Source organism: Homo sapiens, chromosome 11 (assembly GCF_000001405.40).
Source record: "Homo sapiens chromosome 11, GRCh38.p14 Primary Assembly".
Taxonomy (NCBI): Eukaryota; Metazoa; Chordata; class Mammalia; order Primates; family Hominidae; genus Homo; species Homo sapiens.
In genome coordinates, this window is record NC_000011.10 from 123,930,191 (window position 1) to 123,944,799 (window position 14,609).

Sequence of the window (14,609 nt, forward strand, 5' to 3'; positions counted from 1 at the left end):
TCCATGAACAATGATGTCATTTGTGAATGACTTATTTTCTTCCAACCTTTACGTATTTATTTCTTTGATATTGGCAAAAGGGGCCGTCATTTTTTGTTCCTACCTAGAAGAAAGTATTCCATATTTTACCATTAAGTATAAGATAGACTTCTGGCTGTTAGTAGGTACCTTTTATTAGATTGAGAAAATGTCTTTCTGTTCCTACTCGTTATGAGTAGATGTTAAATTTTACTAAATGCTTTTCTCCATACCAATTGAAATGATCACACAATTTTCTTCTTTCTTCCATTAATATAGAAATTTTTATTATCTGCATTTTAATGTTAAACCATTCTTGATTCATGAGAGAAATTCTCCTTTACTATGATATATGTCATATAAAATGTCACATAGATCAACATTACATATTATCAACATGATATGACTATTGACACTATTGTAATTATCTGACTGGGGTAATGTTTGTCAGGTTCTCCCCTGGAAATTTACCATTTTTTCACCACTTTCCATAATGTTCTCTTTGGAAGGAATACTATGTGCAGTTCGCACTTGAGTAAGAGTTTGCTTCACTTCCTTGAGGAGAGGGTATCCACCTAAATTACTTGGCATTCTTCCGCAAGGGAGATTTGACTATTCTCTCCCATTTATTTATTATTCAATCATGTATTTACATCATGGATGTTTATTTAATGCTTTGGTTTAAAATTCAATGCTGGTTTGTTTTATTGTACAAATTGCTTCAGCTTTGGCCATGGAATCTCTTTCAGTTGATTCCTGTGTCTTTTTGATATATCCCATCAATTTTTTGAACACTTTCTCATTTTCTGTCACTATGAGTTCTTCCAGGCTCATCCTGTATATTTCCTGCCTCAGTTTTAGAATCAGCTATTTTCCTAAGGAGACTTGATTTCTTTTATTAGAGAATGTATTAGAAACAAAAATCTGAGTGCTAGGTGTGTCCTTTGCACACCTAGAATTTAACTATTTCTAGGCACTTTGAGCTGACACAGCAAGGAAGTATATGCATGTATACTTGTCCATGTGTATACATGTATCTATAAATATTTTTATATGTGACCATCTGTGTTTATATCAAGCTAAACATGAATTTATATTGGTGCCCCCATCTTTAATCCATTACTATGTGGATCATCTTAGCCTCTTCCCATTGCTTGTCTGTAAATTCACACTTCAACAGTGAGAATCCTGGGTTCCACAATGTGCCATTTATTTACTTAATTGTTCAATTGAGGTATACATGTATAGTGATACTAGAATTGTTTTCCTGTACCTCCATGGAAAATTATAAATGAAACTACAGTTGTTTTGCATAGTTGCTTTGCTTTTAGTCTTACAGACTGTTCTCATTTCTAAACTTACTTAAGTCAATACTTTCTTCTCTTTCCCTTCTGTCTTCCTGCCTTCCTCAATGAGGTTGCTTTATACATTGGTAATACAATTGGTTTTTAAAATCACATTCTGCATTCTATCTTAGGATCTTGTGACTTCCTGAATGACTTTTAAAATATATGCATACATGCATACATTAAGGTTCACTCTTTGTGCTATAAAGGTCTACAGGGCTTTAACAAATGTGCAATGTCATAGATCCATTATTGCAGTATCAAGCATGGTTTCACTGCTCTAAAAAAAAATCCAGTAATTCACCCACTCAACACTTTCTCCCAGAAAACCCCTGACAATCAATAATCATTTATCATTTCTATAGTTTTGACTTTTCCAGAATATCATATAATTGGAGTCAGACAGTATGTGGTTTTTGCTGATTGGCTTCTTTCATTTAGCAATATGCATTTAAGATTTATTCATGTCTTTTTGTGGCTTAAAAGCTTAATTCTTTTCATTATTCAATAATATTCCATTGCGTGGATGTACCAGTTTGTTTATACACTCACCTATTGAGGGCATATTGTTTGCTTTCAAATTTTTGCAATCATAAATAAAGCTGCTATAGACATACATGTGGAGGTATTTTTGTGGACATAAATTTTCTAACAGTTCCTAAATACCTAAAAATATGACTGATGGCTTGTATGGTAAGACAACACTTACCTTTGGAAGAAAATGCCAAACTGTCTTTCAAAGTGGCTGTGCCATTTTGCATTCCCACCAGCAATGAATGAGAGTTCCAGCTGCTCTGCATCATAACTAGCAATTGATAGGGTTTAAAAAATTTTTTTTTAAATTTTAGCCATTCTAATAGTAGTGTAGTGGTGTCTTATTATTGTCTGAATTTGTAATTCCCTAATTACAAATGATGTTTAGCATCTTTTTGATGTGCTTATTTGCCATCTGTATATCTTTGGTGAGGTGTCTGTTCAGATCTTTTACCCATTTAATTGCATTGCTTACTTTCTTATTGTTGAGTTATAAGGGGCCTTTGTATATTTTAGATACAAATCTTTTATCAGACATGTGATTTTCTAGTATTTTTTTCACTGCTATCATTTGTCTTTTGATTTTCTTCACAGTGTCATTTCGAGAGCAGACATTTTTAATTTTGAGAAAGTCCAATTTATCATTTTTTTCATGGATTGTATTTTTGTTGTTGTATCAGAAAAACCTCATCATCAAAACCCAAGGACATATAAAATTTTTTGGGTGTTTTCTTCCTAGAAACTTTATAGTTTGAATTTTACATTTAGGTGTAAGTTTCATTTTGAGTTAATTTTCATGAAAAGTGTCAAATGTGTAAATGTGTACTTTTTTTTACGTATGGACATCCAATTGCTTTACCACCATTTGTTGAAAAGACAACAAATCATCTCTCCATTGAATTCCCTTTGCTCCTTTGTTAAATATCGGTTGCCTATATTTGTTTGAGAAGGTGTCTAGTCCCTATTTTGTTTCATTGATTGATTTTTCTATTTCTCTCTGAATATCATGCTGCTTTGATTATTGTAACTTTGTAGTAAGTATTGAAACCAGTTAGTGTGAGTCATCCAACTTTGTTTTATTCAGTATTGTGTTGGTTATTCTATGCCTTTTGCCTTTCCATATAAACTTTAGATTCACCTTACTGATATCTACAAAATAGCTGCTGAGATGTTGATTGAGACTGTGTTGAATCCATAGATCAATTTAGGAAGAAATAACATCTTAACAATCTTGAATCTTCCAATCCATGAACACAAAATATCTCTCTTTTTTTAAATTTTACTTTTTTGTGAGTACATGGTAGGTGTATATATTTATGGGGTACATGATATATTTTATTAAGATCTTTAATTTTTTAGTCAGAGTGTTGTACATTTCCACATATAGGTCCTGCAAATTTTTTGTTAAATTTATACATACATATTTCTGTGTTGGTGCTATTGCAAATGGTATTGGTTTTGTTTTGTTTTGTTTTTTTGTGAAAGAGTCTCACTATGTCACCCAGGCTGGAGTTCAGTGGCACGACCATATCTCACGGTAACCTCAACCTCCTGGACTCAACCAATTCTCCTGCCTCAGCTTCCCAAGTAGCTAGGTCTACAGATGTATGCCACTATGCCTGGATAATTTTTAAATTTTTTTGTAGAAATCAAATCTTACCATGCTGCCCAGGCTGGTCTTCAACTCCTAGCCTCAATGCTCATTGGCCTCATTGTCTCTCAAAGCACTAGGATTACAAGCTTGAGCCACCATAGCTGGCCTTGTTTTAAAATTCAAAATGCCAGTTATTCATTGCTGGTGATGTTGCCGGAAGGCCCAAAGGGTCTCTGGACACTGGTGAAACCAAAGCCCTAGCCCGGTTCCAGGTTCTTGACATCTTTTTAAGGAAGAATTCAGGGACCTGATGTTAGGAAAAAAGCATTTACTTTGTCACAATTAAGTGTGATGCTAGCTGCATATTTTTTGCAAATATTCTTTATCAAGTTGAAAAGGTGCTTCTCTACTTGGTTGCTAAGAGTTTTTGTTGGGGATTGGTGTTGGATTTTGCAGAATGTGTTTTTGATAACAGTTTTTGAGAATAAAGTGAAAGGCAAGAAGCTTTTATTGTGAAGGGAGAGTACACACGTGAGAGAGAAGTGTTGGGGGCTCCTGGGAATGGGTTGCACATAAAAAAGTTTGTGTTTCTAATTTTATGGGTGTTTCTTTAATTAGGGGGTAGAATAATCATCAGGTATTCTGGAAAAGGACAGGATTTCAGGAACTCCCATTCACCTCCCCTTTCCTCTTATTTGGGTTTGCCCAGAAGAGTCATGGACATGTCACCCTGACAAGAGTTTTGGCTGTTTTCTCTCCCTTATTTTGGATTTTCTGTTATCCCATGGTTTCTTTGCCTAGTACCTGTTTGAGGTGTTGTTTGGGTTTTTCTTTCTTCCTGAGACTACCCAGTGCTATTCCTATCTCAGTATATGACTTTTGTATACGAACCCATCTTGTAACCTTGCTATAATAGTTCAATAGTTTCTTTTTTTTTTTCAGTATTCTCTGGGATTTTCTACATAGACAAACATGTCAGCTGTAAACAGATACAGTTTGCTTTTTCTTTCCATTCTTAATAGCTTTTATTTCATTTTCTTATTTTATTATACTAGCTAAGATATCCAGAATAATGCTTAATAGGAGAGGTGAGAGTAGGTAACCTTATTTTTTTCCTGATGTTAGGAAAAAAGCATTTACTTTGTCACAATTAAGTGTGATGCTAGCTGCATATTTTTTGCAAATATTCTTTATCAAGTTGAAAAGGTGCTTCTCTACTTGGTTGCTAAGAGTTTTTGTTGGGGATTGGTGTTGGATTTTGCAGAATGTGTTTTTGATAACAGTTGATAGAATTATATAATTTTTTTTCTTTAGCCTGTGGATGTGGTGGATTACAATTATTAGCTTTTGAAAGTTGAATCAGTCTTGCTATCTGCAATACATTTCACTTGGTTGTGGAGTATAATTCTTTCTATACGTTGTTGGATTTAATCTGATAATATATTGTTGAGAAATTTTGCATCACATTCATGGGAGATACTGACCCATAATTTTCCTTTTTTTTGTATTGTGTTTACCTGAATTTGCTATCAGGGTAATGCTGGTCCCATAGAATGGCCTAGGAAAAATGTTTCTTCTGCTCCACTTTGGGAAAATATTGCAGGGAATTGGTATCATTTCTTCCTGAAATGTTTAAGAATTTACTAGTAAAAGCCTCTGGGCTGCAATCTTTCTTTTTTTGGAGGTTATGTGATAACTGATTTCATTTTTAAAATAGATATAGATCTGTTCAGATTGTTCATTTATCCTTGTGTAAGTTTTGGTCTTTTAAGGAATTGGTTTATTTCATATAAGTCATCAAATTTGTAGGTATACATTTGTTCTCAGTATTACTTTATTATCCTTTTAATGTCCATGAGATTGGCAGTGATAACCCCTCCTTCATCTGATATTGGTAATTTGTGTGATATCAATTTTCTTTTTTGTTATCTTGGCTACAGGTTGATCAATTACTGATCTTTTTAAAGAATTAGCTTTTAGTTTCATTGATTTTCTGTATTGATTTCTTATTTTAATTTCATTGATTTGTGCTATAATCTTTCTTATTTCTTTTCATCTGGTTCTTTAGGCTTAAGTTTTGATTATTTCTCTACTTTTCTAAGATGGAAACAGGTTATTAATTCAAATGTTTCTTCTTTTCTAATATATGTATTTAATGCTATACATTTCTCTCTAAGCATTGCTTTTGCTATATCACACCAAATTTGATATGCTGTATTTCCCTTTAAATGTATTACTTATATTAAAACATTTCATTTGTTCTGCGATTTCTCCTTCGAGCCATGTGCTATTTAGAAATGTCTTCTTTAATTTTCAAATACTTGGGCATTTTCCACCTTTTTTTTTTTTTTTTTTTTGAGACAGGGTCTTGCTCTCTCACCCAGGCTGGAGTGCAGTGGCACAATCATGACTTGCTGCAGCCTCAACCTCCTGGGCTCAAGCGATCTTCCCAGTTCAGTCTCCCGAGAAAGTGGAACCACAGGTGTGCTCCACCATGCCTGGATAATTTTTTATTTCTATAGAGATGGAGGCTCCCTATATTGCCCAGGCTGATCTAGAACTCCTGGGCTCAAGTGATTCTTCCACCTCAGCCTCTCAAAGTTTTGAGATTACAGGTGTGAGCCACTGCACCTGGCCTCAGCTCTCTTTATCTTATTGATTACTAGTTGAATTCCACTGTAGTCTGAAGACATACATTGTATGATTTCTATTCTTTTAAGTTTGTTAAGGTGTATTTTCAGGTCTATAATGTGGTCTATCACGGAGAACATTCCATGTGAGTTTGAGAAGAATGTGTATTCTGCTGTTGTTCAATGGCATTTTGTATAAATGTCAACTAGAACCAGTTGATTGATTGTGCTGTACAGGTCCACAATATTATGATTTTCTGTTTTCTTGATCTATCAATCAATGACAGACTAGTGTTGAAATCCCCAAATATCTGACTCATTCTGAGCTAATTTTTCTAAAGAGTGTAAGGTCTGTGTCTAGATTTTTTTTTTTTTTTTGCAGGTGGATAACCAGTTCTAGCGCCATTTGTTGAAAAGGCTATCTTTATTCCATTGCATTGCCTTTGATCCTTTGTCAAAGATCAGTTGACTATATTTCTGTTGATCTATTTCTGAGCTCTCTATTCTGTTTAATTGATCTATGTGTCTAGCCTGTTGCTAATACCACAATGTCTTGATTACTATAGCTTTATAAGTCTTGAAGTCTAGTAGTGTTGGTTGGTCCTCCAACTTTATTCTTCTCCTTCAATATTGTGTTGGCTATTCTACATGATTTGCCTCTTCATATAAACTTTAGAATCAGTTTGTTGCTATTCACAAAATAAAATTCTGGGATTTTTATTGATATTGCATTGAATCTATAGATCAAATTGGGAAGAACTGACATCTTGGTAATATTGAAACATCTTATGCATAAATGTGAACTATCTCTCCTATTATTTAGTTTTTGAATTTCTTTTATCAGAGTATTGTAGCCTTCCTCATATACACTTTGTAAGTATTTTGTCATATTTCTCTCCAGATTTTCAGGTGTTCATTTGCCCTGTGACCTCATGTCTCTGCTTGGTCCAAGAAAAGCCATTGACTTTCGGTTTACTCAGCTTTTTCTTGTTTTAAGGATAGGACTATTGACTTTCAAAGTCTTACATGTTGGAACCGAATCTGAAAATTCCCAATTATTTGTGTATTTTAAATACACAAATTTGGTTTTAATGTTATTAAAACTAAAGCAAAATAAATACATAGAGATGAATAAGGGAAATCAAGGAAGCATGGGTTGAGCATAACTTCTGGCAACTTCAAGTAGTTTGATGTGCTCTAGATCACAGTTTATGTGTGAAAGAGGCTACACATGTGTATTAGTCCATTCTCACACTGTTCTAAAGATACTACCTGAGACTGGGTAATTTATTTAAAAAAAAGGAGTTTTAATTGACTCACAGTTCCACAAGGCTGGAGAGGTCTCAGGAAACTTACAATCATGGTGGAAGGCAAAGGGGAAGCAAGGCATATCTTACATGGTAGCAGGTAAGAGAGAACAGGGGGACTGCCACTTTTAAACCATCAGATCTTGTGAGAACTCCTTCACTATCATGAGAACAGCATGGGGGAAACCACCCCCATGATCCAATCACCTCCCACCAGGTCCCTCATTTTACATGTGGAGATTACAATACGAGAAGAGATTTGGGTGGGGACACAGAGCCAAACCATATCAATATGTTTTGATGAAACCTAATAGATGGGCAGGTGTTGGAACACTCCTATGCAGAGTGTTACACACTTAGAGATGTATTAAATCATTGTAGCTTACTCTTTAACCCCTTAGTATTTAGCACAGTGCCTAGTAAGTAGAAGGTGCTGAATAAATGCTTACTGAATGAATGGACAAAGGAAAGAAAATATAATTGAAATCCATACTTAATATTAAGTTAAATTGAAATGACACTTCACGGTTCTATTCAGCAACATGAAGGCTTTTATTCTAGAGTTTGTTTAGTCATCTTTCTGAGTATGTTTTAAAGTACTTAAGTGTATGAAAACACCCCTTTTATTTTGAAGGTTTCCAAGGTAGCTCTGCGTTTTTAGATGGTGGTTTTAAAATTTTAATTAATATTTATAGCTTCCTCTTGCTGCTTCCCCTATGAATAAAAATTATTCTTTGGGTAATGTCTCTGAAATTAATATTGACATTCAAACGATTCGGAAGTGATTTAATATTCTTGTTGCCTTCTCCTATGTTTCCTCCGGGACTATAGTTTCTCTGGGTTTCCCAGAGCCACCAGACAGGAAGCTTTTTCTATCACGTTTTCTTATCTAATTTTAGAGAGACTAGTAGTTCTTCACTACCCTTTTAAAGTGCAGGGGGCAGTGATTTCTTTTCTTTTCTTTTTCTTTTCTTTTCTTTTTTTTTTTTTTTTTTTGACAGAGTCTCACTCCATCTCCCAGGCTGGAGTGCAGTGGCGTGATCTCAGCTCACGGCGGTATCCACCCCCAAGGTTCACGCCATTCTCCTGCCTCGGCCTGCTGCTCATCCCATTTTTCAATTTCTGAGTTTTTGAGTAGCTGGGATTACCGGTGCCCGCCATCATGCCAGGTAATTTTTGTAGTTTTATTAGAGACAGGGTTTCTCCATGTTGGCCAGGCTGGTCTCGGACTCCTGACTTCAGGTGATGCGTCCACCTCGGCCTCCCAAACTGCTGGGATTATAGGCGTGAGCCACCGCGCCCGGCCCCGGTGATTTCTATTCTGCTCCCTTACCCATGGCTTCAGTATCCTGCTAGGCCTGAAAATGTATATCCAAGATAGAGCTATATCAGAAGGCAACTGAATATTTATTCAGGGCTGTAATGGACAACTTGCACTTCCTGTTGTTTTGGGACAAATATTAGAACTCTGTCAATCCATGGAAGCTTCGTCTAAATGTCTGGCATGCAGGGATGCATCAGGTTTTCTAAATTAAGGCCATATATGGTATCAAATATTAAAGTAAAGGAGACTTTGAGGACATTTTGGTTAATTTTATAGCATAGACAAGGGAAGCGAGGCTTAAAGAACTGCAGATAATTGTTTCTGTTTACACAACTAGTTACTGGAAGAATCAAAATTCATTTTCCATTTAACACTCTCTTCTCTACATGCCATTTTCAATTTTTGAGGGCTTATTACTTCTGATTCTCATAAACCAGAAATAGTATGAGTGCTATCCTGAGTTTTATGCCTTTGGAGTTTGATATCACCAATATATGATGTTCAAATGCTTGGTGTCCTGCAGAACCACTTACAACATTCTCCTTATGGAAAATGAAAGAGTGAAGAATTTCCCAGAGGAAGCAGAGGGAATTATTTTAGAGAACTTTGCAGATCCCCTGAATAATATGTCCTTTTTTCTTAGCAGGTTCATTGACAAGGTCATACCAACCAGATGAATCCAGCAAATCATTCCCAGGTGGCAGGATTTGTTCTACTGGGGCTCTCTCAGGTTTGGGAGCTTCGGTTTGTTTTCTTCACTGTTTTCTCTGCTGTGTATTTTATGACTGTAGTGGGAAACCTTCTTATTGTGGTCATAGTGACCTCCGACCCACACCTGCACACAACCATGTATTTTCTCTTGGGCAATCTTTCTTTCCTGGACTTTTGCTACTCTTCCATCACAGCACCTAGGATGCTGGTTGACTTGCTCTCAGGCAACCCTACCATTTCCTTTGGTGGATGCCTGACTCAACTCTTCTTCTTCCACTTCATTGGAGGCATCAAGATCTTCCTGCTGACTGTCATGGCGTATGACCGCTACATTGCCATTTCCCAGCCCCTGCACTACACGCTCATTATGAATCAGACTGTCTGTGCACTCCTTATGGCAGCCTCCTGGGTGGGGGGCTTCATCCACTCCATAGTACAGATTGCATTGACTATCCAGCTGCCATTCTGTGGGCCTGACAAGCTGGACAACTTTTATTGTGATGTGCCTCAGCTGATCAAATTGGCCTGCACAGATACCTTTGTCTTAGAGCTTTTAATGGTGTCTAACAATGGCCTGGTGACCCTGATGTGTTTTCTGGTGCTTCTGGGATCGTACACAGCACTGCTAGTCATGCTCCGAAGCCACTCACGGGAGGGCCGCAGCAAGGCCCTGTCTACCTGTGCCTCTCACATTGCTGTGGTGACCTTAATCTTTGTGCCTTGCATCTACGTCTATACAAGGCCTTTTCGGACATTCCCCATGGACAAGGCCGTCTCTGTGCTATACACAATTGTCACCCCCATGCTGAATCCTGCCATCTATACCCTGAGAAACAAGGAAGTGATCATGGCCATGAAGAAGCTGTGGAGGAGGAAAAAGGACCCTATTGGTCCCCTGGAGCACAGACCCTTACATTAGCAGAGGCAGTGACCTGAGAATCTGAAAGATGCTACAGGGTATTAGCCTGCTGGATAGGACCCTCGAGGTAGATAAAATCTATGCCTACTTCTTCTCCATTGTTCTTAACCTCAATCAGGTTCTGGTGACCTGAACTATTAGCCACAATAGAAGATGGGATGAGTGTCTTAGAACTGCTTCTAAATGCCTCCCAGATAAAAAGTATCAAGTTCTATGTAGAAGTACTGTTTGGCTCAGGGGCCACTTTCCCACGTAAGAATGATGTTGGCCTTGCTGAGAAAGTTTCAACTAGTAAATCTGGTGTCTCTTTCCTGATATCACTTTTTGGACACAAAGTACATTGGAAGAGCTTAAAATATTTTTAAATTTCTTTGAGACAAGGGTTCTCTTGAAATATTGGACCCTGAGTCCCAGTGGAGACTGATTGATTGATTGACTGTTCGTCAATGAGGAAAAAGGAAATTACCTTGGGCAAATCACTTTCTTCCTCATAGTTTCCTAGGGTCACTGTTGTTGCCATCAGTGTCATCATCATCATCATATTAATAACATTTAGTTAGAACTTACTATGTTCCAGACACTGTACCAGGTGATTTACATTTATTATTTTAATTTTCTCAAAATTCTTAGGAGGTAGGTATCATCTTTACTTTAAACATGAGTCCATTACAAATTAGAGACATTAAATAACTTACTTAAGGCTACAGAGCTTGTTTTCTGGAATTCAACCCAAGTCTATACAACATCAGAGCCCAAGTGCTCAACAGTACCTAAAACGTCTTATAGATTCTAAGGATCTGTGGGTTTATGTCATCACAGATAGAGTTTATATCATCGTGAGTTATACTGACATCATAGATAGACTTGGCATTTGATCCATCTTTTAAAATATGACTTGATCATTCTCTCCCTTACAATCACTCAGAGGCTTTCCATTGCCTTTAAAAAAAAAATCCACATGACTATTATAGATAAGATGTTGTCTGACCTGGCCTCCACCCATCTCTCCAATCTCACTTCTCTAACTCCACTCTTTTCTAACCCTCTGTTTGCATTTACTTCTGTCAGTTTCTCTTTACTTCTTGAGTTTGCAAATACTCTTTGCTATCTCTGGGATGCTCTTCTCTTCATCCTTGCCTGGCAAACTGTTGCTCAATCTCAATCCTCGGTCTAAAGGTCACTTCCTCAAAGATGTGTTCACTGATCTTTAATCCGAATTAATTTGTCCTTATTAGTTTCTCTAACAAAACTCAAAAGTATTTATCACAGATTTCAATTACACACTGATTTATGTATTTATTTATTAATATTTTTTGTCAGCCATCGCCCACTATACTATAAATTCTATAAAAGAAAGGGCCGTGTTTAGCTTACTTAATACTGTATTCTCCAAGCCTAGCACCACAGCCTAGATGAGGGTGCAGCAACAGAGGGGCCTCATGTCAACAATGAGCAGACATTTACTATCGAGTTTGTACACAGCCTGACCCTGCGCTAACACTCCCCTAAAAGTGCATGTCTCTTTAAAATTTGTTCTGTAGACATCTTCCTTGGCTCACCCTAGTTGGAGCCTTGCCATATTAGAGATTTAATAATATTTCTTAAAGGAATGATTAAATGAGTGTTGCCATATTTCAGTTTGTTGCCATATTTGAGTTTGTTAGTAGAGTTTGACTTAGGAATTAGGGCTATCCAAATATTTCACTGGTCTTAACATTCTTCCTTTATGAGATTCCTATAGGAGCTGCTAGTTACATAAGGAGCAATAACAAATGCAAATCAGAGAACCATTTATTACTGCAGCCAGAATTTGATTTTCTAATAATACAGAGGTTCTGGTTAATTTTATTTGCAGTACCCAGTCTAGTTGGAAGACCTCAGAGACCCTCTTACTCCCCACTGAGCTCCAAATCTGAATCTCCATATTTCAGCATCTTCTGATTGGCTACATGACACAGGAGACTGAGGCAGTAAGAAAAGTGTTTAAGCACACACGAAGAGAAGGAGGAGCCTCCCTGTATGCGGGTCACGTGCTCACACATGCTCTCCAATCCAAGGATTCCATCTTGAAAGAAATTTGACCAATTGGATCAGCCTTCTCTGTGGGGAGGAGGAGGCACAAGGAAGGTTGTAGGGAGGGAAAATGAAGGTTTACCACCGTATTTCATGTTGTATATTTATGAAGACTGTTCTTTCATTAGCTGAGAAAAGTGAACAGTGTTGCCTACATCCCTTAAACTTCTTGCACATTTAAAAAATTTTCAATAAACATTTAATCTCCCATTTAATAAGATCATTTCCTTTGACTTGTGACCCTCAGTTTCATCACAGCAGTGAGCCTGGGCCACCCCAAGGCTTCTCTCAGTGCTTGCTGCACCTTGTCATTGCGGAGAGTGAAGATGAATGGGTTCAAGAGGGGTGTGATGATGCAGCTCAGGACGGAGGCACCTTTGTTGAGCAGTTTGGACTGAGCCTCTGACATACGAATGTAGAGAAAGATGGAACTGCCATAGATGATGACCACCACTGTAAGATGCGAGGCGCAAGTGGAAAACGCTTTCCTTCGCTCAGCAGCTGTAGGGGCCCTGAGAACAGTGGCAAGAATGCAGGCATAGGAAACTGAGGTCAGAGCCAGTGAGCCCAGTAACACCAACGTAGAGAGCATGAAAGCCACCAGTTTCAGCAGGTGGGTGTCCCCACAAGAAAGCCTGAGCAAGGGCCAACTGTCACGAAAGAAGTGGTCAATACCATTGGGGCCACAGAAAGGCAGGCTGGCCATGAGGACAGTGGGGCAAAGGACCCAGAGGAATCCAGCTAGCCAGGAGGCCAGCACTAGTTGGGAACAGACATGGCCATTCATCAGGGTCTCATAGCGGAGTGGTCGGCAGATTGCCAGGTAACGATCCAGAGACATGACGGCCAAGAGGAAGAAGTCAGTGGTGCCTAGAAAGAAGTAGAGGTAGGACTGGATGATGCAGCTGACAAATGAGATGGTGTGATCCCCCGTGAGGATGACGACAAGCATCTTGGGAACCACAACAGTTACCAGCAACAGCTCCAGGAAGGAGAAATTCCGCAGGAAGAAGTACATCTGTATGTGCAGGCGTTGGTCTATCCAGCTGAGCACAATAATTAGCAGCTTGCCTGTGGCTGTTACAATGTAGGTCACCATTAACCCCAGGAACACCAGGAACTGTATGAGGTGGCTACTGGGGAAACCCAGAAGGACAAAGCTTGTTACCTGAGTCCAGTTTTCAGGGTTCATCTTCAGTCACCTGCAGGGGAAATGAAACAGAACTCTGTAACTGGTCTATAGCTACCAATCATCATTTAACCAATCGGTAAAATAATATTGAACACCCAACACTTCCTTACATTCTGAGAATATGTTGATCTATAGTTTGGTCTGCACGTGACTTACAAAGAGAGAAACAAATTACAATAGTAAGCAGCATGGCAATATTGAACATCAATTATATATCTGAAAATTTACACGGTGCACAGTATCTCTTCTCCTAGCTACTCTTAAAACTATGTTTTACTATTTTCAAAGATAAGAAAAGGATGACGAAGGGAGTTTAAGTGACTCTTCTATGATCAGGTAGGAAACAGGTGGTAGAGGCAGGATTTCATACTGAGCTTCTGTGACTCCAGCACATGCTGCTGATACTGTTGAGCTCAGGCAGAGAACCGTGTGAGTAGTGTGGCTTTAGACGAGTCCAGAGGAGTAGAGGGGTCAGAGAAGACTTCACAGAACAAATGCACCATGAACAAATTTTACTGGTATTAAGAACTCTCATTTTAGTGTTTATGGTCCTTCTGTGTCCTGGCTTGACATAAAATAACAGAATTTAAAAATCTGGGCTCTCGGTATACTCAGAGATTTAATTTTCATTAGTCAGCCATGAAGCCAAATAGGACCGGATTGTGCAAAGCCCAGTCCTGTCATAAAGTGTTATTTTTCTTTTTTCCCCCAATCCAGACTCCTGTAGAATGCTAGAAATCCTTCTTCCTTGTGGAATGCTTACTAGCTTCTCTTACCTTCAGCTTGCTCAATATTCTAATAGTATAAAATGAGGAATAAGGGAGAATGGTCTCAAAGGAGATGGTATATATCAACTTGCCTTCTCAACTTTTGCCTTAATTTGGAGATATGTTCATCTTGTCCTTGGAGCTTTTGGAATCCTGTAAAATGTATCCACATGTTTTGAAGGACTGGATTTCAT

At 37.9% G+C, this 14,609-nt stretch overlaps 2 protein-coding genes across 2 annotated transcripts; one reads left to right on the plus strand and one right to left on the minus strand.

Moving 5' to 3' along the window:
• Positions 1-9,426: 9,426 nt before the first annotated feature.
• On the plus strand, positions 9,427-10,383 carry OR4D5 (olfactory receptor family 4 subfamily D member 5). The gene has a single exon (NM_001001965.1). The coding sequence runs from the start codon at positions 9,427-9,429 to the stop codon at positions 10,381-10,383; it is 957 nt and encodes a 318-aa protein (NP_001001965.1).
• A 2,293-nt stretch (positions 10,384-12,676) lies between these two features.
• OR6T1 (olfactory receptor family 6 subfamily T member 1) lies at positions 12,677-13,648 on the minus strand. The gene has a single exon (NM_001005187.1). It carries the CDS (start codon positions 13,646-13,648, stop codon positions 12,677-12,679), a length of 972 nt encoding a protein of 323 aa, NP_001005187.1.
• Positions 13,649-14,609: the final 961 nt, after the last annotated feature.